Raw genomic sequence first — 24,696 nt, 5'->3', positions numbered from 1 at the left:
AAGTTTCTCAGGTAATAAAATCAAAAGCAGGTAATACAATAAAGAAAAAGGATAGATTATCTCAAATTCTGTTAATTTCCACAGCCAGATGCCTTTAGTCTTACTTCTTTGAGACAAATGTTCACAGTGAAATCGATTTCAATGAATTAAATGTTTTATCTTTATCCCCAAGTTTAGTAAATACCGTAATCTCTGTGTTCTCCAAATCTGCACCTAACTTAGTCATTTTTCTGCCAAAAATGGAAGACACTTTCTGATCATACAGCTTCCTGAATAGACTGTGCTACATCATTCTAGACTCTCACCTCTCTAAGTAGGTATTTATAGGCTATTTCTTCAGTAGTTATTTATTGCCACTCTACTCTTGTAAGGCAGATGTGGTGTAGGGTTTTATTTGTTTATGTAAAATCTAACACTGAAATGTTATGTGATTTTTAAACAGCCATAATAGTATATATAGCTCTTTCTGCCTAAACCAGTTTTTTTTTTCTGTAGGAAGACCATTGTCCTGGTTCACCACAGATGGTCCTGGATCAAGCCCTGTTGTCTTACCACAATTATTGCTAGTGTCCCTTTCTTTAAAAAACATCTGTTTTGGACAATAAATTATATATTCATTCTTCATTTCTGTCTACCTGGAGTATTCCTCATTCTTCATGCCATTACATTTCTGTGTTAAACCTTGCGTGGCAACTCTGGGTAGTGATAGTCATTCTCTCCTCTCAGATGTTTACTATTTTTATCAAACATCTTTAATAAAATCTACCCAATTGTATAGTATTATACAATAACAGAATTTGGAGGTTTTTGGGCATTGTTATATGCCCTGAAAATAGCCTGCTACATGGCAAGTGACACACACACACACACACACACACACACACACACACACTCTACACAGGAGAACTTGGAACAAAAGTCCTGGATGCAAATCCTGGCTCTGCCATCAAGAATTGTGGGCCATAAGGAGATAATTTACTGTAGTCATTAAGAATGGGCCCAGGAGTCAGACCCACCCACTGGTGCTGGGTAGGTGAATTTAGGAAGGTTACTTACCTTCTCTAAGCCGCCGATTGTAAAATGTAGATGGGCCTATCTTTAAATTTATGTAAAATTTGGAGATGATGCTAAATTCAGAGGAGTGTGCGTGCCGAGAAAGAATATCAATTAGGTAGAAATATAGACAGAAAATAGAATGTAATTTAGTACAGAGAAACAGTGACTGATATATATGAGAATAATTTTGTTTCAAAGTGAGTCAGGGTAGGCCCGGCCCAGTGGCTCATATCTGTAATCCCAGCACTTTGGGAGGCCGAGGCGGGGGGATCACTTGAGGTCAGAAGTTCGAGACCAGCCTGGCCAACATACTGAAACCCTGTCTCTACTAAAAATACAAAAATTAGCCAGGCGTGTTGGCGGGCACCTGTCATCCCAGCTACTTGGGAGTCTGAGGCAGGAGAATCGCATGAACCTGGGAGGTGGAGGTTGCAGTGAGCCTAGATTGCACCATTGTACTCCAGCCTGCGCAGCAAGAGAGAAAGTCCATCTCCAACAACACAAACAAACAAAAAGTGTCTCAGGGTAGAGAAGAAGCCTGCTGAAAGGCATTGAGAAAGAAAGTGGTGTTCTCCTTTGTAGTTGGGGAAAGGAAGAGGGGAGAGTAGGTTGCCTAGTCTAGCGCTACGTGTTTTGCTGATCTGAGCTACAGTTTAAACACTGGGTTTGTTGGTTATTGCTACATAGAAATTATATAGGCCAACTTTTTCTGAAGTTGAAGTCACTTGTGGGGAATGTTGCACTTTGTTTTTAGTTGCACTACAGATTACCTCTTTCAATAAAGAAGATATCACAGTGTGGGGTTAATAACAGTGTTCTCTGATGTATTTTATTATGCCAGTAAGAATAATAATACAAGATTATAAAGTAACCATTAATCCTTTCTTTTTACTTTATGTAGAAGAATTAACACACTATTCTTAAGTCTGATCTTAAAGATACTTTACAAAATAACCCCCCCCCCAAATTTTTGGATAGAACCAAAACAGCCTGGTTGGAGGCCAGAAAAATTGTTATTTTGTAAAATTAATAATTATTTCAAGTTTAATGATGCATATTTCCTACTTAATTGTCACAAAAATGACAAAGCAGAAAATGAACTGGAAAAATTAAAGAGGTGCCAGAAAAATTATTATGTATTTAGTTTGGGTAAGGAGATCAAAGCACCTGTGGGTCATGAAACATCAGAGAGGGCCAAATATCTGAGCAGGGGGTTGTGTTGGTGTATGGGTTGGGGTATCGTAGTGGTACCATTCAGAAGTGGCACTTATACACCCTGGCTTTCTGTGAACAGTAACCAAGGGTTTAGAACTGAAAATTAAGACGCATGCATTGTAAAAGATTTTTAAAAACTTTCTGAATATGAAAGGCAATATGAGGGATGTAATTTGGATATTCAAATATGGGTATTCTGGGGACATTTATCACGGAGATAGAAGGACAAAATAGTGGAATTTACATTTCATAGAAGATTCATAAAAAGCCAGAATGAATGGTTGCAGATTTTATGTGTTGGGCAGATTTCTATCCCAAAGAATAATTCTTGTGATATTTGATACAATTGTGATACAATGATTTAAAATCAGATTACATTTATTTATGAGAGTATTATTGATATTGCTGTTTTTAACAACATGCACTGGTGGGTCACTGTAGTCAAAGGAAAATACTAAATTCAATCCGTGATTGAAGCCATTAAGATCAAAGCTGACTTCCTGGAGTTTGACTGAAGTGTGTCTGCCATGCGGGTAAGAGCGCAGTCCTCATGGCTACTGCTCGCTGCCAGGTTGGACGGAGCATTGGTGGGTAAAGGGTGCAGCCTGGGGCTTGGGTTGGCCCAGAGCCTTAGGGTTGAAGCAAACCATGGAGAAGTTCTCTTTGACTAGTAAAAACATACTAACAAGTGTTTCATCTATTTCTAGTTTAACTTAATAACTTATGTTTACTTTCTTGTTTTACTTTACAGACTTTCTTTGTTTCCTTGCTTTTGAATAGAAATACAATTGGTAGAACATTTGTTAATGTAATGCTTTTGGATGTGTTTTTGTTGTATTTTTTTTAAACTTAATTTTTCTGATAGTTTTTCTTTCCCATGGCAAATGCAGGTTTTTTTTTCATTTTTATTTTGTAAATTTGAGTTTATACTAACCACTGCAGAGCAGCAGCAGATATAAAAGCATGATCTCCTGGGTGGGGGTGTGCTGCTTGGGAGAGCAAAGGGTGAGGAATGGAGCAGTTTGATGGAAGTTTCCAGCATGGGTGGAATTGAAGGAAGAAAGTACAAGTTTGTACAAACCTAGATGAATAAGATTCATAAGAAGAGGAAAGCTATTTTGGAAACTACCCACTATACAAAACCTATCCACTTAGATTTCTTGAAGCTTTGGGGGTAAAACCAAATGAAGGAAGTCCTCAACTTTGTTTGTTCCAACAATTTAAGTTGGTTGTAGTATGTTTTCCTGAGGAATGACATCCTGCCAGGCATTCCTTAGAATGGAACACAAGTCTAGATAAGTGGCAGGTGCCTGCAGTCCAGTCCTAAGGCTGCTGTAGAACCCCTCCCCGAGAGGCTGCGTAGCATGGAGGGGAAGGGTGCTGGCAGGGGCTTCAGATTTGACTCTATACTTGTTAGCTACCATAGCTTTGGTTATTTGTGGCATCTCAGTTTCATTATGGATAGAATGGAATAATGGCATCTTCTTCATCGGGTTATGTGTATAAACTGAGATACTCCATGGCAAGTTCTTAGTGTCATACCTGGGACATATGTCAATATTGTAAGTTGTTTGTAGGAGGCAGGGTCATGGCCGTGAGGCATTATCTTGTCCTTATGGAGAAATTAATTCTGACTTCCAGTTGAATTCCTGCATTTCCTCCAAAATTTTGGCCAGGCCTTTTCATATGCTAGTCCCCTTGCTTCTCACCATACTGTTTCTCATGACCTTTTTGTTCATCCTTGGATGTTCAGTTCAGCCACTTCCTTGGAGATATGAATCTCCCTTCGTTGGAACTAAACCTAGTGGGATTGACATGTCCTGTTCATGTGTTTCTCTCTTTCTCAAGATTATCATCCCCTTCAGGAAAGAACCTGTAGCTCCCAGCTCCCTAGTTTGGGACAGTCTGCCATATAAGAGACAGAATATTATGGTTGTTAAAGGCATGGTTTGGGAGCCAACAGTGTGGGTTAGAACCTTGCACCATCACTTACTGGCTATGTGAGGTAGGGCCAGTTGTTTTACCTGTCTGTGCCCCAGTGGCTTTGTCTGTAAATGGGAATTGTAACAGTACTTACCTGTATCAGGTAAGTACTGTTACAAGTCAAGGGCAGGTTAAATGAGGAGGAAGAGACTTAGGCTTGAAGAGGTGGGTAGGCAGGTAAATGTACCTCCTACATTTGTAGATAATTATCTTTCTGTAGGTTTGTTATGCTTGACTATTCCATGTTCTCCCAGTGATGATTTTCCAATTACTTATCAATTTACTCCTGGGGAATTAAAATGTAATGTTTTTTGACTGTATTTTTCTTTTCTTTTTTTTTTAACTGTTGGTACTTTTAAAATAAGTTGTGGTGAGGAGAGTTCAAATTACAGCATAACAGAATTCATTTAGTGAATTGATGTAACATTAGCATTAGTCTGCCATTAGCATATCATATAGCAGTATTATCCAGGTAAGGAAAAATATGCCATCTCAAAAAAATAAAAATAAAAAATAAAAGCGACAGACTTATGTGTCACCTTTTCCCTCATTTTGAATGTTGTACTCTAATGAGGAAAAACCCCAGCTCCCCTCCTTCTGGGGCAAGGCAAGCATGGCGATTCTTGTTCCCTGCTTCACAGGGAGCTGTTTTCTTGGCTGGTGTGCCGTTCTGAAGCTCCTCTGCCTTGGAAGGGCAGGCAGTCCATTTCTAGCCTAGATACCCTCCATGCTTGTGTTAGCAGCTGCTACGACCACCACTGCTATTCCAATTATTACCACTACTTCTATTCCACTGTTATTTTTACTGCTGACATTACTATTGCTAAACCACCACTATTTCCATTGATACCAAAATCCTGACTTTAGTTACTGTATTCTACTACTTCTTTATCATGTGTGCAGAAAGAAATGCTTATTTTCCATGCCCTAAGTAGAGAACCTTGCAAGCTTTCTTTGGAATGTAGATTGTGCCATATTTTTAAAAATTTTTATATTTTAAAAAATTGTTTAATTTTTTTTTGGGCCAGGCATGATGCTTATGCTTATAATCCCAGCACTTTGGGAGGTTAAGGTGGGAGGATCATTTGAACCTAGGAGTTCAAGACCAGACTGGGAAACATAGTGAGACCTCATCTCTACAAAAAAATAAAAAATAAATTTGTGAGGCATGGTGGTGCCTGCCTGTAGTCCCAGCTAGTCTAGAGGCTGAGGTGGGAGGATCACTTGAGCACATGAGATCAGATTGAGGCTGCAGTGAACTGAGATTGCACCACTGCACTCCAGCCTGGGTGACAGAGCAAGAAAGAACCTGTCTCAAAATAATAATAATAATAATAATAATAATAATAATAATAATAATAATAAATAATTTATTTTTAATTTTGGGGGTACATAGTAGGTGTATATATTTATGGGGTACATGAGCTATTTTGGTACAGGCATGTAGTGTGTAATAATCACATTATGGAAAATTAGGTATCTGTCCCCTCAAACATTTATCCTTTGTGATATAAACAACCCAATTGTACTCTTCTAGTTATTTTAATATGTACAGTTAAATTATTATTGACTATAGTCTGCCTGTTGTACAAATACTAGGTCTTATTCTTTTTAACTTTTTTTTTTTTTTTAAACTGGGCCCCATCTCTGGGTTGCTTTGAGCTAGCTGTCTTCTGGCTAACAAAATAGTTGAGTGCTACTTTCTTTCACCAAAGGCAGCGACATGCACCACTTTCATTAGCAGGTTAATTAACTTAGGAAAATAGATGATCCAGGCTAACTTTGACCTCTGCACTTCCAAGGTATTCAGTTTTTTAGTGCAAAGACTAAAAACACAAAAGGAGGAGTAAAGATGCTGCTTGTCTTCCTTTTGTATGTCCAGGGACTAATGCAGGTGTTGACAGAAAAACCTTTGAAACTGAGTTTCTAAGTCTAAGTTTCTGCCAAGGGAGAGGGGTGCAGTGCTTCCTCTTATAAGGACAAGAGCTGTTGAAAGCAGCAGAGGGCTTGTGTGTGTGTGTTATGGTGACTGCTGGCCAAGGGCCCCTGAAAATCAGTTGGCAGCTTCCCATTGAACACACACCAGAGGCAGGAAACACAGACTAAAGATCATGCTTAAGAATGTAATTGCCTAATAATTTAAAATCTTTATTGATATTATTTATAAATATTAATATAACTTCTAAAAATGTTCTTAGGTAAGTTTAAAAAGACACATTGCTACATTAACATTGAAATAAGAAGATATGATGACAATTTAATGTAAAATTTTACTGAGTTCCCTGACTACTAAGGAATCGTTGCATTTAATTTTTCCTAGAGATAAACTGCATCAGGATTCATTCATCAATTTATTTGAAAACATGTATGTGCTATAAAAGCTTTGGGATACAAAGACAATATAGATGTATTCTTTACTCTCAAATATTTACTATTTCTTAGGGCACTAGGTAGTCAGACAGATATATTATAGTTAAGCACAGTTATTACCATAACAGATGTGAGCCGGGTGCTGCAGAGCAAAGAGGGTGCATGTGTTTTTACAATTTAGCCCTGCATTTATGAGCTTAGCCATTTCAATATAATTACATATAACTCATGAAAGTACATTATCATTGAATACTGTGAAAAAAAACCTGTTAACTTTAAATGGTAAATTACTGTATTTTTGAACGAATGACTTAAAAAATTACCCATTAGAAATGAGTTGTGGCCTGGACAATAATCAAAACAGAAATATTGGCTTTTAAATTGCTGAGAATAGGGAGGTTTTGGTTTAGTGAACTGATGACAAGATTACAGCTAAGGAACAACCCTTCTCCATTTATGTCCTCTCTGCATGTCCTTTAGGGTCATCATTTACTGTGATATTAGCATCAGTATGAAAATAATTTGAAGCTTCATATTGTGCAGTCCTAAACTGATACCACATGTAGCATACTTATTTTGTAATTCAGGGGATATTTGAAGGTATGATTTCTTAGAATGAGGATGATGATGCCCCTTCTGTTGGGACCCACTGATACACGGGGGAAAAGGACAAATAAGGTCCTCATACAAATAAAAATTATTCTTTTATTAAATTTCTAGGAGATGTAAGATTTAGCTCACCTAATTTTAAAAGAGAGATATAGAGAAGATATGGTGAAAGGGACAGAAATAGGGAACTCCAGTAAGAGAGAAGCTTGATATTATTATATTCCTTACACCTCTTCCTCCTTACCAGTTAAAAAAAAGGATGATCTGAGACCTTTGGAGAGGTATAGAGGAGGAGTTATGATGAGAAGAGAAGGAGAATTCTTCTTGTACCTTAATGTTTGTAAATCGGTTTCATGGTCGTCTCTTCTGTGCCTTTCGAAACTGCCAATCATCTTATTATAATGGCCACTCATAATTTGAATTATGCCAGACCCTCAAATTCAGGGCCGATCTTTCAATAGCAAGTGTCCTACTGAGAACTTCTTTATTCTGAGATGCTGAGAGCTTCTTTCTTCAACACACAGGTTGGCTCTGGGTGGTCCTTGCCTCATCAAATATAAGTTAGAAAATCTACATTGTGTGAAGGTCTATTAGCACTCACCGACCTTCTCATGAAATGTCATTTCTCATTTGGGACTGAAATAACTCATCTCACAATAAGCTGTAGAGATTTTTCCTCTTCCATTGCCTCAGTTAACACCACTAGTCCATTATTCCTAGCAACTTTGGAGAAGTCGGTGTTTATTTTTTCAAATAAAAAGGGAAGCCATCCTGTTTGCATTCATATCTTTGAGAAAAGTCAAGATGGCTTTTACACATAGAGAAAAAGGAAACCATACACTTTTAAGGGGTAGAGGAAAAGGAGCGATTCAGAGTTTTGTAGTGAACTTTAGCAGTTTGACCTTCAAATGTTTCCTTTTTTAAGCGTCAATATTGCTAACATTAAAGTGGTAACAGGAGGCTGCACCTTGAAAAGCCACTCATGCCTTGTCTGTTGTGGTAGCTACCTGGTTATGAAACATTTTCTAATCCAGAGAGCTTTGGCCTGATTTATAATTTTAGGATGTTTTAGACCTTGATGGTGTTAAACTTTCTTCTTCGGAAGTTATGTGCATTGATATTGAGTGCTTTTCTACCATTTTCCTTCCTCACCTTGAAATAAGCGAGCTATTCATGCCCTTCTGAAGAGGGAGAGAGGCTACGCATGGTTGTTGAAGACACATGGCTTTGTTGTTAGAATACATCACTTTTCACTGGATATACCTGAGAGAGAGGCTAGGCAGCATCTAATTACTGGGAGTTTTTATATGTGAAGACAAGAATTAACTGACTCCCTGGCCTCCTTTTCACATACTATGTCCCCCAATTTGCTAAGTTACCATTTTCAGTGAATGCCCTGCTATCCTTCCAGTGCCCAAGGCAGAGAGAGGTACAGTTATAATTCTGAGGTCTTCTCTTTTCTCTCCCACTGCGTCCCCACACACAGTCAATCAATTACCAAATATTTCTTTTCCATGTAATCTCCTGGAGTTCTTCCCATCTCTCCTTCTACTATCCTAGTCTAAATCCCATTATTTCTTGTTAAATTATATGATAATGTCCTGGTTGTCCTTGTCTTGTCTTCCTATGCCACATCATCTCTCTAGTAAGAAGAAAAACATTTAATTCTATAAGCTGCAAAAATGGAGTTAATATAACATAGTAGTTAAGGATATGGGCCCTGTAGCCAGAATGTCTGGATTTGAATCCTGACTCCATTGCTTTGGCAAAAGCAGTTATGTAAATGTTGGTAAATCTCTAAGCCTCAGTATGTGTTTAAAAAAAAATTAAAACTTTTCTGATTGGATTGTTGTGAGGATTGAATGGCATAAACATTTAGCATAGAGCTTGACACATAGCAAGCACCGAAACATCACTACAACACCAATAATCATAAATGCAAAGCTGAGTATTCCGCTTTCCTTTGGTGCTTTTTTTCTTTTCTTTTTTTTTTTTGGAGACAGAATCTCACTTTGTTGCCCAGGCTGGAGTACAGTGGGGTGATCTCAGCTCACTGCAACCTCCATTTCCCAGGTTCAAGGGATTATCATGCCTCAGCCTCCCCAGTAACTGGGACCATAGGTGTGTGCCACCACAGCCAGCTAATCTTTGTATTTTTAGCAGAGATGAGGTTTTGCCATGTTGGCCAGGCTGGTCTCGAGCTCCTGACCTCAGGTGATCTGCCCACCTCGGCCTCCTGAAGTGTTGGGATTACAGACATGAGCCACCGCATCTGGCCTCCAGTTTTCTAATTAAGACCTTTTAACCTCATCACTTCTAGGACAAAGCCAAGATCTCTTTGGCATGCCATGGACATCCCAGCTCCCCTCTTCTGTTCCTTCTGTCAGCGCTCTTGTCCAGAGAAGTGTCCATCTCAACCGCTTCCACTGCCCCAAGTGGTCCATGCTTTCATGCACATTCTTTGCCGTTTGACTGGAGCATCCTCTCACTGCAAGTCTGGAAATTGCCTTTCTGCCTTCTAAACACCAACCACTCCTTCTCTTTATGTAGGTGACTCCCACTCATCCTTTCTTACCTCATGTATCAGTTATTCCAGAAAGCTGTCCCTGATACCCTAGGGCTCTCAAGGAGCATCTGAATGTATTCTTCATTGCACTTGCCAAACTATTGTGCAACCGTGGACTCACTTGTCTGTATGTTCTGTCTCACTATAATAAGCCTTTGAGTATAGAGTCTGGATCATGTTTGCTTTTCTTGTACCCAGCTCTTGGCATTTTTATTCAGTTAACATTTGTTTAATATATTAATAAATCACTACCCAATTGGGGATTTGTTTTATGGAGTTTCATTATGCCTAGTGCATAAGAGGCACCTCATGAATATTTGTTAAATGAGGATGCATGGCTATTTAAACTTTTGTGTATCCTTACTTGGCAACTCTTATATGGATACACTGAATATTTAAAGAAATTTAAAGTTATTTAATTCTAAGTCCTGAAATTCTAAATTCTAACAAATTGTTAAGTTAACTTATGTAAATAAGTTAGATGATTTAGCAAAGTTGTACAATTTTTTTTTTTGTCAAAAATAGGTATGGTTATGAAACAGTGAGCTGGATTTGCCCTTCTGACTCATAAAATATCTCTGAAGGCAGTATATTTGAAGCTGCTTCAGATGATTCAAAGGTCTAGCAGATAACTTCTAATCTCAAAGAATGAATAGACTGGGAAAAAAAAACACTCAAGTAATGTTGTGCCAAAACACCCTATCTCTAGCCATAAAATCATACATTCATCAGTTTTCTTCAGTTATCTCAATTTTCTTTTTGTCTGAACACAGTGAGATAAGAATTGGCTTATTATGCACTCCACAAAGAAAATTATAGAATTTTCTGAGAGGAACATTAGAGGCCAGTTAGGCCAATCCTGTGTATATGAGCCGTTCTGTTGCAAGTGATAGATTGCTTAAGCAAATGGTGGAGGTATTTGTTCTTCTCATGTAATTGGCTCTTGTATTCTAGGAGCAGCATGGTGGTTTCCAAATACTATTTATTGTATAAATGAAAATAAGACTTATTTGGAGAAATGGCTGATTCCAGAGCTACAGCAGTGAAAATGTGAGATGGACCTGGGACAACTTGATATAAGAAAGCAATGAAACAAATATTATTGTAATTATTAATTATGTTGAAAGGAAACATGAACCAATTTGAAGGGACTCCCAGTGGCCAAACGTGGGACAATATGAGCATTAAAAAAATAATGATGGCAATTGATTATTACAAAAATAGAAAAAAAGGGAGGTCAGGGGAAGCTTTTTTTCTGTTTTTTGACAAAAGAATACTAGCGTGTAAGTAAGAAAAGAATGATAGAGTTAGAAAAATCACTATTTTAAAGTCTCATATGGAATAATTAAAGCAAGGATGATCAAGGAATACTAATCCCATTGTGAAAAATTATTGGGAAATAGGACAGCCACATGGTACCACATCTTCACCCCTGGGTTACTTACTGCTATAAAGGGGGGACATGTACCTTTACAGTAGAGAGATGTGGCAGTAACCATCTTAACTAAATGATTGAGTTTAGCCTCAGTAATGATGGGACACCCTAACATTTTGTGTCTTCTGATGTGATGAAATATGAAGTTCACAGTATGAAGTACTTTTATCAGAACTGTTTAATTTGAATCTAGATTTAGCTTTCAGTTCACAGGAAATACAAGTGAAAGAATAATAGGTTTAATGATACCATGAAGAAACAACCAAACAAATGCAGAATTTAGGACATTTTGTAAGACAACCAGCCTGGACTCTTCAAAAAGTCAATGTCATTAAAGAAGAATAAAGGCAAAAGTATTTTTAGATTAAAAGATACTGACTAAAAGATAAAACTGCCAAATGCAGTGGGTAAAACATGACTGGATCCTAGTACTAAAAGTGGGCAATTGAGGAAATTTGAATATGGAATGGATATTAGATAATATGAAATTATTGTTAATTTTCTTAGATATAATGGTATTGTTGATCTGTAGGAAAAATGTCCTTATTCCTGGGAGTTGCAGGTAGAGTCAGAGTATTTAGGAGTCAAGTGTTATCTGTAATTCATTTTCAAATAGCTGAACATAATACATTTATAAATATATAAAGGGTATAGGTGCAAAAGCATATATGGCACTATGTTGCAATTGTTGCATGTAGATGGAATGTTCATTGTATTCTTTCAACTTTTGTTCTGAAATTCAAAAAAATAAAATAAATAAACTGGAAAAAAAATCAGTTTGGTAAAAGCAAAGCAAAAGTCCTGGAGTGGACTGCTGGCAGGCTGGCAGCCTCACTTCCTCTATTCCTCAGCTCTGTTCCTATATGTGCACAGAGCCACACACTTGTGAGCATTGAGTGAAGTGTGAGCCTAGTGAATAACACTAGGCTCGCACTAGACTCAGCACTAATTTAGTCAAATTTTGGAGCAGTGGGAAAATCTCCTGATAAATTTAACAGAGAAGCTTGAGGAAGAGCTTTGTCTTGTTCATTTTTAACATTTCCAGTATGTGTAATGTTGTAGGAATTCAAAAACTGAAAAATACATAAATAAAGGGGTGACCAAATTTGAGGATTGCCTGGAAAAGTGAGAGTATATAAGTGACTTTCAAATTCAGTAAATATTTGTGGAATTTAGTAGATCTGAACTAGTTAAGGGACAAGTAAGTTTAAGATGAATTCCAGAAGTAAGGGGAAGGCCTCTTTTTAAATCTTCTGTGCATGCAATATTTCATATTGTTTTAACTTTTAGTAATAATACTTGCTTTTCTGAATTAGTGATCAAAGCACTTTATGGAAGTCTTCTGCAGCTTTCCCTACAGGTGGGGAAAGTTTGAGTTTGGTGGGAAATCTTCAGAGCGTGGTGTGTGCAATTATGCTTTGTTCCTTGGTGAGCTATGAGTCAGGCACTTAATTATGTAAACGATATTGCAAGAGAGCAGTTGCATAATCCCCAAGAGAGTAATTATTATCTGTCTTGGTAGAATACAAGGCTTTTAATCTGTAAATAAGCAATTCTATGTGGAAGAGCTACATGCAGAGTGATTCTGTGTCTTAAAGGTCTCTTATGAATTTTTTAAAGTGAAAGCAGTAACTGCATGTGCTGATTACCTGCTGCCTTTGTGTTTCAAAGGGTTTATGATGCTTCCCTTGTGGTTTTAATCCCTCCTGAAATATTTAAGCCTCTGAGAATGATTCCCGTGAAGGGTAAAGTGTGTCTAAGTTAAGCCTATGAATAATCCAAATGTTTCAAATGTATTAATAGATGAAGTAAAAAAAGATATGCTTTCTGCAAATTAAAAAAACAAACCAAGATAAACAAAACAATGAATTAAGACATTGGCAACACTTTTAAAAAAGCAAAGATACAATAATTAGCTAATACGTTGCTCACTTTTTGATGGTTAGTAGGTTTTTTTCCATTTTTTTAAACTTTATTTTGGTATAACTTACATATAATAAAATGCATCTATTTAAAGTTTTCACATGTATATTTTTAAAAAAATATGTGCCACTGCAGTTAGGGTATGTGTGTATTTTGCTTAGGTGGATCTGAGTCTTTTAGACACTGAAAGCAAATTTTAACTTTTGTTTTTTTAAGTAGTCAGTAGTGTCTGCCTTCCCTCCTATCTCCCTGTTATAGTGTGGATGAGTTGACCATGCTCTTCTCTAAGGTCAGCTGCTGCACTTAAACACTTGATCTCTCCCCACTTCACCTAATCAGGACTACATTTGGGGAACTGTCCTTCTCTGCTTTGTTACCAGCTTTCCCCTCTCTATCAGGTTATTCCCATCAAAACAGAAACATGTCTCGACATCTTCTGCTGTTTCTTAAAACTCTTGACCATTTCTCTGTTCTCCTCTGCAGCAAAACTCAGGAGTCTATATTCTGTCTTCACTTCCTTTTCTCTCTTTGTCTCTGAAACCAACTCCAAGAGGCCTTTCATCCCACTCCTCCATATAGAGCCTGCTTTTGTCAAGGTACCCGTGACTTTCACACTGCCAGAATCCATGGGCAGTGTTGACCAATCCGTTGGTCTAAATCCTATTTGGCCGTCTGCAGCATCTGATATAGTTTTTCACTCCCTTCATCTAGAAACACATTCTTTACTTGGCTTCAGGAAAACCCTATCTCCTGGTTTTCCTACTTCCTAACTGGTCACTCTTACTAAGACTCCTTTGTGAGCTCCTCCTCTTTTCCTGATCCTTTAAAGTTTCCTGGCTCAGGTACTCTCCTCTTCTTTGCTCTATTCCACAGTCATTTCAGCCAGTGTCATGGTTAACAGTCCTCTGTACACTAAAGACTCCCATATTTCTGTCTGAAGTACACACCTATCCCCTGGACTCCACACTTATTGGATGACTAATAGGCCTCTCAGATTTAACACAGTCAAAAAGTGACCACACTCTGGTCTTCCCACAGTTGTCTCTCACCTGGGTTATTGCAAGAGCCTTATGTCTGGTTTTCCTGCCTCCACCCTAGCTCCGGCCCCTTTCACTCTATATTCAGCACAACAGGCCAAAAAGACCTTTTTAAACCATCAGATTATGTCCTCCTTTTGGCCAAGGCCTCCAATGACCTCCCATATCAGTCAGAGTAAAAACTGTCCCATAAAGATCTTCATCATCTGACCCCACTAGCTTTCCATCTTTCCTCCTTTTCCCCCCATTACTCACTCTGCCTTGCTGCACTGACCCCTTTCTCAGACACGCTCAGAGGCCTCTATGTCAGGGCCTTGGTATGGAACACTTCTTTAGTCTGGGCTGTTGTGTGCTACGGTTCTCCATGGCTTGCTCCTTTTGCACCTCAGATCTCTGCTCCACCATCCTCTTCTCTGTGAGACCTTCTCTAACCATCCTGTTTAAGTTCCCCCACCCAGCCCCACCAACTCTCCTGATCCCTCCTCCAGGTTTTATTTTTCTCTATTGCACTTACCACCATATGAAAGTAAAAATACTTGCTTATTTGTGTTTGTTGCTTTGTCTGTTTTGTCTGTCTTTTCATATTAGAATGTAAGTTTCATGAGGGTAGAAATTGCCTTGGTCACAGCTGTATCACCTGTGCCTGAGAGAGACTGCAGGCTCGGTCAGTACTGCTGAATGAGTAATTGAAAAGCAACTTCAAAGGCTGCTTGATGCTTTCTTGTCATTTTTAGAGCAGTCTTGAGTGTTACAGAGGGTGGATAGCATTCAGAATAATTAACTTTATGCTAACAGCTCTTTTCCATTCCTCAGTTTCTCTGTTTGAAGAACATAAGGACATTTCTCACGGCCTGTTGTGAGACGTTTGGAATGAGGAAAAGTGAACTTTTCGAGGCATTTGACTTGTTTGATGTTCGTGACTTTGGAAAGGTAATTATACTTCATTTTTAACACTACTTTTTAACTGGAAAGCATTTAAGCAAATTGTTTCAAATCTTGAAGTAGGGCATGTGACTTAAGTGGTTTATGTATCTGCATTATATAGTTAAATTTCACATGTAGATGGCTTAGCAAAACCAAAAACCAAAAAACAACAACAAAAAAGAAACCCCACACATACAACAACAACACCAAAAAATTAGCATCAACTTTCCAAATGAGATTAGAATTATTTTGTAATTAAAATAGTATACAGGGAGGGAATCTTTTCTCCAGAGATAATTTTTTTTCTGCTGGTCACCTCAGAGGTTAGGGTTACTATTATCTGCCCTTTAGGTTGATCACTGGGCACTCAGGCCTGAGGACCAGTATTCTTTTCCTCCAGTCTTCTCTATATCTGAAAGCTGCTAATTTTTGGAAGTTGAGAATGTTCTGTTGTCCTTTTCTCTATTTTGATACTTGGTTGGGTGACTCAGAGAAGACATGAATCACAAGTGTTCAAGATTGTTGAATAATTTCTGTTGCTTGAATTTCAGCAGATATTTGTTGGATTTCAAGGACATTTTTCACATGGAAATTGTTTTAATATTTACTGTTATCCGTATGCACACTAAACACATGTATAATAAGTGAAACAAATCATCATTTCAAAAATTATGGTCATTTATTATGAAGTGAGTGGACATAAACCTCTCACAAGTAACTAGCCATAAAAGAGTCAGGTAATTAAGGTGACAGGACTTTAGCTTATGCTGATGTAATTGCATTATGAAAATAAGCAAATAAGGAGGAAAAAACTAATGCTATTGAGAAGTTTGTCCTTATTCTTGTAATTCAGGTGCTAGTATCTTATCAAAAGGCTGTTTGAGAGTATACATTGTTTTAACTCTGAGATATAATATTTTCATTAGAAAATAACCAATGGATTGCTCTTTGCTAAACAGCATAAACTTGAGACAGAAATATAGGAAATTTGATGCTGAAATACAGCGCATATGGGGAAGCCACTCTACCTGGGGTGGGGGAAGGCCCTGGTTCTCTCTCCGGTCTTAACCCATGGTCATTTTGTGATCTAGAAGGCACCAGCCTTCTCAGGCATCAGGCTGCCTGCCAGCTTGGAAAGCTGTACAAAAGGAAGGGGGGATAAGAAGGTGGTTTCTAAGATTCCTTTAATCTCTGGAAAGCTGTGATTTAACTGTCTTGAGGTCCAAAAAGTGATGGAGGATAAAAGATGATAATTTGTACAACGAACTGAAAGCCAAGCCCCTAGTAAGGAAATGGGAGCGCATTTGTCTGTGGCCATGAATCACAGGTGAGGTGGACACTTCTCTAAGCTGTTGGCCCTGAAAAACACCAGAGATATTTCTGGTTTTATTTTTCTTTTATCCTTCCGCCTGTTCCTCCTGCACCTTTAAAAAAATCTTCCTTGATTTTTCTTTATTTTCACCCTCTCTTTTGGGGAAATGAAAAATGAAAATGAATTGGGGAAATGAAAAATGAAAAAGTCTTGACTTTTTAAAGCTCATTAAGGAACTATTTATTTTTCATTTAAGTTTGCAAGAAATGGTGTTGATAAATGTTGGAAAAATATATAAATACTTTAAAATGCATGGTGGTGTTCTACTGGAATGAGATTGCATGCTAGATTGATTAGACAACGGAAGCTTTGTAGGAGAGTTGATACTACAAAAAATTGAATGTGAAAGCATAAACTGTATGCTTCTCAAGGATAAATGTATTTTTGACTGCTTAAAATATTTTAGCAGTGGTAGATCTGAAACAGAATTAAACATGAGATTGTGGTTTAGAACTTGAACCTACATTATAGTCACTTACATTTTGCTACTGCCAAGATTGGAGTAGCTATCTCTTTAGAACTGTATGATCTAAAGAAAACACTGAAAGTTAAAGAATTTGTGATATAGCTTCATAATTTACCAGTACTAATAGTATTAAGCATTATATACTCTAAGTAAAAACTGCCAATACCACCAGTAGTTGAACACTTAAAATATGCAGTCTGTTCAGTCTTCATGTATAATTTGTAAAATTGTAACAACGTTAAGAGGTTAGGTACTACATTTTTCTCTTCTGCATCCCAAATCACATATCTATTTGAGATTGAAGCAGCAGTTTGAACTCAGGTCTAGCTGATTGTCCACTACTGTACCATAGTGCAAACATTCACATAGCACATAACGTGTACTTTGCATATATTGAGGGAATCAGCGCATCAATCCCAACATGTGGATACTATTATTTTTCCCATTTATAGGTCCTAGCTTGTGGGTAATGGAACTGAAATAATTCTTGTAGTTTTAAGTTGAAAAAATGTGAATAGTGTTAATTCAGAAACAAAATAATTTCTGATGTCGTGAATATATACATTTTAACAGGATGTGGATAGGTTGTTTTCCTCCATTCCGTAGGATTTAATTAAATGTTCTGTTAACTTAAAATGAATAATATCTATGTGTGCTCTCCTGTCTGCCTCATTTCCTACATTGGTGAATCTGGAATTCATGTGTATTTGGCATCTTTTTGCCAAAGAATGTATTAATTATGATAGCAGCACCTAGTGTTTTTATAGCCTTTGAAGTTTTCAGAGTGCTTAATATTACTGACTTCATTTGATTGTCATAATACTCTTGTGAAGACATTCTTCAGATGAGGAAGCTAAGACATGGGGAGGTGCTTGGATAGTGATTCTAGGGTCTCCTTGCTTGGGAAGAGGAACAAGATCTGGAGCTCAGGCCTCTGGCTTCTCAGTCCTGTTTTTCTTGTCCACTGTCTGTGTTTTGGGTCTCACTGCTCTGTGGATGGTCAGGGAAAAGGATGAACTTATAGAAGAAAATTAAAGGAATTTATAAAATTAAAAAACACAGGTGATGTGTTACTTGGCATCTACTTATACTTTAGAAAGAAAGGAAAGATTTAGGATACTGCATGAGTCTGCAGCCCAGTGGTGGTTAAAGTTGTTTACTCTAAATAGGCATGTGATTCACTGATTGTACACATGCAGTCAATTCTTAGCTATACTCTCTTACCCCTTTTCTCATTGTGGTGTTTTCTGCTCACTAAACTTTGTCCAAGCTCTCCCTCTGTTTGGGGTTTAGGAGATTTATTTTGAATCTTAGGCTTGATATGGATGTGTTTTCTTTTGGAAAATCCTGGAAACAGTGTTAACACAAATGATAATTTGTATTTTGTGAGATGGTGAAGAGCATCTATTTGGGCTTCTCTAGAAGGGCTTATGATAATTCTGCCTTTCAGTGCTACCTTTATTCTTAGAATTGAGCTCTTTCCTCAGTAGTAATTCACTTCAAACTCCACCAACATCAACAAAAATTAGAACAGTTTGAAACGCTTTCTACACTTTTTTTTTTAATCACACAGGAAAGAGGAGTGAGTTTAGTAACTTGAACTCATTTAAGAGTCAGCAGAGGCCTTCAGGTTAGATATGACTCTCACTCTTCAGGGTTGTTAAATACTGAAAAAAGCTCCTGAAAGAGGGAGATTTCTTTTCTAAGACTGCTGAGGTCTGGTGGGGGGAGAGGGGGGGAATGGGGGACGTTGAGGGTTTATGTTTTGAAAAACCATTTACTTTCTTACTTTTGAAAAAAGATGAATCTCTTTCTGGCTTTCTGATAATAAAAATAAGTAAAATCTTGTTAGTTAACTTCTTTGCTTAAGAAATGTAATTAAAATGTTTCCCCTGGCATAATATTAGAAATTACTATATTATTTTTTGACATCATGACAGTATCTGTAACTTTGTTCGTTTCCGTACTGTATGTAAAGAATTTTCCATAACTGTTTCAATCGTCAGTTTATGATTAACTCACTCTTTGGAAATGTTTCCTACTGAGCTGTCTGTTGGCACATTGACAGTGCAGAAGCACATGGGATTTTTTCTTTAATGAGACAATTTCTAGAGCGTAATAGAAGTCAGGCTGCCACTGTCCAGATGAGTGACTAAAGTCATCTCCTTACCCTGCCTCTGGGTGAGTGTGAAGGGCCTGCTTCCCATGACACACAGTGTAAAGTGATATGTTTTCTTAAAGAGTATCCATACCTGGCCAGTGGTAGGTCCAGTTGATTTGAATTGCAATAGGATAGTTTCATCATGTTCAGGTTCAGGACAGGCACCGTCAAAAGGAATTCAGAGCATCAGCTTAGGGGTGAGTCAGGGATACAGGTAAGAACATTATTGGGAGAGAGAGAGAGAAAGAGTTGTATTTTAGTTAAGAATTAAACTAAAGAGCTTCTTCACAGCAAAATGAACAGTCAGCAGAGAAAACAGACAACCCACAGAGTAGGAGAAATTCTTCACAATCTATACACCAAACAAAGGACTAATATCAAGAATCTACAAGGAACTCAAATTAGCAAGAAAAATAAAACAAACAGTCCCATCAAAAAGTGGGCTAAGGACATGAATAGACAATTCTCAAAAGAAGACATACAAATGGCCAACAAACATATGAAAAAATGTTCAATATCACTAATGATCAGGGAAATGCAAATCAAAACCACAATGGAATACCACCTTACTCCTGCAAGAATGGCCATAATTAAGAAACCAAAAAATAATAAATGTTGACATGGATGCAGTGATCAGGGAACACTTCTACGCTGCTGGTGGGAATGTAAACTAGTACAACCACTATAGAAAACAGTGTGGAAATTCCTTAAAGAACTAAATGTAGAACTACCATTTGATCCAGCAGTCCCACTACTGGGTATCTACCCAGAGGAAAATAAGTTATTATACGAAAAAGATACTTGCACACCCATGTTTATAGCAGCACAATTCACAATTGCAAAAATGTGGAATCAGCCCAAATGCCCGTCAATCAATGTGGATAAAGAAATTGTATATATGACGGAATACTACTCAGCCATACAAAGGAATGAATTAATGGCATTTGCAGCAACCTGGATGGAACTGGAGACTATTATTCTAAGTGAAGTAACTCAAGAAGGGAAAATCAAACATTGTGTGTTCTCACTCATATGTGGGAGCTAAGCTATGAGGATGCAAATGAATAAGAATGATACAGTGGACTTGGGACTCAGGGGAAAGTGTGAAAAGGAGGTGAGGGATAAAAGACTGCAAATTGGGTTTAGTGTATACTGCTCGGGTGATTGGTGCACCAAAATCTCAGATCACCACTAAATAACTTACTCATGTAACCAAATACCACCTGTTCCCACAGAACCTATGTAAATAAAAAATTGAAAAACAAAACAATACATGGTTTCTGAGTTAGATCTTGGTTTGGATTCCAGTTAAGCTCCCTATTAGTATACAGTCTTGGGCAAGTAACTTGACTTCTTTGAGCTTCAGTTTCCTCATCCATGTATTGAGTTTAGGTGAGTATTAAATGAAATTGTGTATGTCAAGTGCTTAACAGAGTGTCAAGGTCCAAGGTAAGTACTCTTATTGTTAATGTTATTATCACTATTATTATTTTTAATGATTGTGGGATTCATTGGTAAACATAGGTGTCGAATTTTGAATTAAGTGCAAGAGAACTAATGATATTAAAAGGGTGAGATAAGAAATAAAATTCATTCTTTCTAATGTTGTATAGCACTATTTTATTTTATTTTGCACAGCCATCGTTTCTCTTTCCTTCTGTGGCCTTGGATCTCCTTTGAGAAACCACACTTTCCTCTTTCTTAATTACAGAGTTTGGATGGTTTCATCAATTATATCCCATGCCTTTGACCACATAGTGATGGTTCAGGAATGGGGTTAGTCACTCAGTTGGGACCAATAAGACATTTGCAAGGGTAGTTTTATTTTTCTCTCTTCCTGATACAGAAGAGTGTAGATGTGAGTCTACACAAGGAGCTATAACCATCTGGGTACCACATGGAGTTTCAAAATGGACCCAGTTCAGAGGGAATAGAGTTGAAGATGAACCTAGTGACACCCTGTGAAGTGGGAATCAGTGCTGTGCCCAAAGCTAAATGTATATCTATAGGTTTTTCCATGAACCAATACATTCCTCCTTTTCTCTTTTTTGAGCCAGTTTTCACTAGTTCTTTCAACCAAGAGTAAGAGAAATCTAAGTGATTCACTGTGTTTCACCAGTTAAATGATTTCAGGTTTGTAGATGTGTTAATCTTTATTACCGAAGTTCCAAGCAATTTGGAGACCATTTGTTAAGCCTCTACATCTCCTATCGTATATGCAAGAGGAGATATAAAGACAAAGTCCCAGAACCTATTTTGCAGCATGTAAATAATAAAATAGAAGTACAGTCCCAGCTTCATAGTCAATGCTTTCTTTTCCTTGCCAGTGATTCCAGAAATATCATCGATCTTGAGGTTTAGAAGGTCACCACAGGCATCCCGACAACCTACTTGAGAGCCTGCAATGGTTTACTACTACCTGTCTATCTTTGTGAAATTCTGCCTGGCTTTCCCTGTCACAAGAAAACCCTCCCAAGCAAAGGCTTCTGAGCCTTTCTTGGCTATAGGTGGCCCCAGGGACCTCACCTTGGCATGGCTTGAAAGAGCCTTATTATCTAGTGCATACACGTTAATCAACACCTGAAAACATTTTTTCATATATACATATGTAAACAGGAAGAATTATTTTAGGGTGTAAATCTTTTTAGGTACTTGTTTGACATAAAACACGTTTGATGTTTCTCTCTTGAAGTATTTCCCACTCAAATTATCCAGAAATCTTTGGGCTTTATGTCATCCATGGGACTTAAATCAGCCTTGCTTCAAAGCCCCACAGGAGCTTGATCTCTCTGTCTGCTAGTGTGGTGCTATTGCACAAGACTGGTTCTGTGTGGTTCCTGGGACAGCTTTAGTGCTCTGATGCTAGCAATGCCCTTGTATTTTCAGCCCTTCTCAACCCCATACTACCCACACAAGTTTCCTTCATCCCTATAGCATTTTAGCTTTTGCATTGAGCCTGGCCAGGCCATATCTCCCTAACTTTGTGATGAATTCTTTTCAGGGGCTCCTTGTATTCTGTCAGCAAGCCTGGGTCACATCCTCCTCATTCAGCCCTTACAGGGTACCAACTTCCAGTCTCAGAGCGGCATTTGGGATCCTGAGTATTTTTCCTCCCTCAAGGGTCTGGAATTTTCCCACAAATTAGCCAGCTTCCAGCCTAGAGCTGGCTCAGCCTGGCAAGGAGTACTGTCAGGAGTCAACCTCCACTCACCAAGGCCGCGTTTGCTTTGTCCCCCTGAGCAGTAGGAGGCTTGCCTGTAATTACATAACTAAGGGGGAGCTCTGCAGTGATTCCTCCCTGAACAAAGATAGCTTGTTCCAAGGCTACCTTTTTTTAGGCAAAGGAGGAGGGAACAGCTTCTAGCCTTCCCTAATGTATGTGTCTGGCTGGCTGTTAACACAATTCCCAGATCATTAGCACTATTGCCCTCCTTTGTTTTTGGATGGAGTTGACCTGTTTAACAACCTTCTCATCTTTTTCCCTTTTGTAGGGGTATTTAATGCTTGGCAGATTTTTCCATTCCTACCTCCTCTTATAGAACTTTAGTACCCGAGCCATGCAAACACATTTTTTACACCTTAGTGATTATTCAAGTCCAGTTTTTAGTCTGCTCCTAATTATTTTTGAGTCAGTTCAATAAACTCTTTACTCTTCTGTAAACTAAAGACTGTTGAAAACTTCTGGAATAATATTTCCCAAATAACTTTGCAAAGAATCCCATTGTCCTAAGAAATGTTAATAGGAAGACTGGAGAAAAATATTCTTGTTCCAATGAGTTTGGTAAACACTGCATATTGTATTTATGAGATATAGCATAGTAAAGGAACTGAAAAGTCCTGCAGTGAGGAAAACAAACTTTTGTTTACTCCAGAATTTCTCATATTTGCACATGATATTAGGTATTTAGATATCATGCTATTTAGGTATCACACAATTGCTTCAAACTCATTATGTATAAAACTGAAGTACTTTTTTTTTTCCTTTGGAGACATTTCTATTTTGGTAATGTTTCTTGTTTTGTTCACCCTGCCAGGAGCTAAATGGTTACAAATGCCCTATTTTTTTTTTTTTTTTTTTTTTTTTTGAGATGGAGTCTCGCTCTTTTGCCCAGGCTGGAGTACAGTGACACAATCTCGGCTCAATGCAGCCTCCACCTTCCAGGTTCAAGTGATTCTCCTGCCTCAGCCTCCCGAGTAGCTGGGGCTGCAAGTGTGCACCATCATGCCTGGGTAATTTTTTGTATTTTTTAGTAGAGATGGGGTTTCGCCATGTTGGCCCAGCTGGTCTTGCTTGAACTCCTGACCTCAGGTGATCCACCCGCCTCTCCCTCCCAAACTGCTGGGATTATAGGCATGAGACACCATGCCAAGCCAAAATGCCTTTTCTTTAACCCTCCTTGCTTTTGCCTTTAGTTGAGGTACTCATCACTGGGATTATTGAAATTGTCTTCTAGGTGTTTTCTTGCCATCAGTTTTGAATCGTTTCAAGCTCATCTTCAACATAATCTTCCAAAAATGTAGATCTGATCATTTTACTCATGGGTTTATCACCAGGGGAAGGTATCTGAGTTACCAGTGGCGAATCTGTACAGGTCTACAGGAATCTCAATTCTTGCCTCCTCAGAAGAAAGAATTCGACTGAGGGGCATAAGGCAGAAAAAGAGACCGAGGCAAATTTCAGAGCAGGAGTGGAAGTTTATTTTAAAAGCCTTTAGAACAGGAAAGAAAGGAAAGTATGCTTGGAAGAGACCCAAGCAGACACTGAGGTCAAGTGCAGTGTTTAACCTTGATCCTAGGACTTTAGAAGCTGGCCCCTTTCCCATGATTCTTCCTTTAGGGTGGGTTGCCTGCAAGCCCAGTACCCTCCTTATCCTTGGGAAGTGAGCACACACAGTGTGTTTAGTATGTTGTATGCATGCCTATCTGAGACTTTTTCCCTTTTTCTGGTGGAGTGCCCCTGGAAACTCATACTCTGCCATTTTGTCTCTTACTGTGTACTCCCAGGAAATTGCTTATCTCTGGTGCCTGCATTCAGTTAACACTTTAGTGCAACAGGTGTGGACCATCAGGAAGTGGCTTTTCCCTTGCATCAGCTGCCAAGTTATCACTTTTAGAGAGGCAGTGTGATAATTGCCAAACCTTCACCTGACAGTCCTAGTGGCTGGGAGAACCCTTTCCTGTCCACTCTTGCCTATCTAACTAGCTGTAACAGGTTTAAAACTTGATAGTGGATCCCTGTTGTTTATAAGAGAATAACATCTAAACTCTTTTACAAGCCGCACAAGATTCTTCATGATCAGGCCTCTGCCTACCTTTCTAACCTTATTTCTCACTTTCCTACTCCCATAAACTCCCTCGCTTAAGTCCTTCCAAATTATAAATCATCATGACTCACCAGATTAATATTGATTAATATTGTTTCCTTTGCCTGGAATGCCTTTTCTTTTCATTCCCTTTAGTCCCTTGTCTGCGGTGACTCAATTCAAGATCACATACACTCATTACACTCATACACACACTGCTTAAAATCTGAAATTATGTGCTTTATCCAGAGCTCTGGACTTAGTTGGTTCTTGGAT

At 38.2% G+C, this 24,696-nt stretch overlaps 1 protein-coding gene across 7 annotated transcripts in view, besides 1 other annotated feature; it reads left to right on the top strand.

Moving 5' to 3' along the window:
* VAV3 (vav guanine nucleotide exchange factor 3) overlaps positions 1 to 24,696 on the top strand; it is a 394,020-nt gene that overhangs the window by 75,156 nt on the left and 294,168 nt on the right. For all 7 annotated transcript variants that reach the window (XR_007063680.1, XM_017000053.2, NM_006113.5 and 4 more), the window contains exon 2: positions 15,008 to 15,124. Coding sequence is in view for 6 of the 7 variants with exons in the window: in XM_017000053.2 (XP_016855542.1) it covers positions 15,008 to 15,124 (117 nt within the window). In the remaining variant the exon portion in view is untranslated. The remainder of the gene's footprint in view (positions 1 to 15,007; positions 15,125 to 24,696) is intronic.
* Positions 22,119 to 22,815: an enhancer, noted in NCBI's record as "OCT4-NANOG hESC enhancer chr1:108409832-108410528 (GRCh37/hg19 assembly coordinates)". NCBI's record gives its function as "activates a minimal SCP1, AML or CMV promoter by ChIP-STARR-seq in naive H9 embryonic stem cells {active_cell/tissue: H9 hESC(naive)}" and the evidence as "EXISTENCE:reporter gene assay evidence [ECO:0000049][PMID:30033119]".

Source organism: Homo sapiens, chromosome 1 (assembly GCF_000001405.40).
Source record: "Homo sapiens chromosome 1, GRCh38.p14 Primary Assembly".
Lineage (NCBI taxonomy): Eukaryota > Metazoa > Chordata > Mammalia > Primates > Hominidae > Homo > Homo sapiens.
The sequence above is the reverse complement of the archived record's forward strand: the minus strand, read 5'-3'. Positions and strand labels throughout refer to the sequence as shown.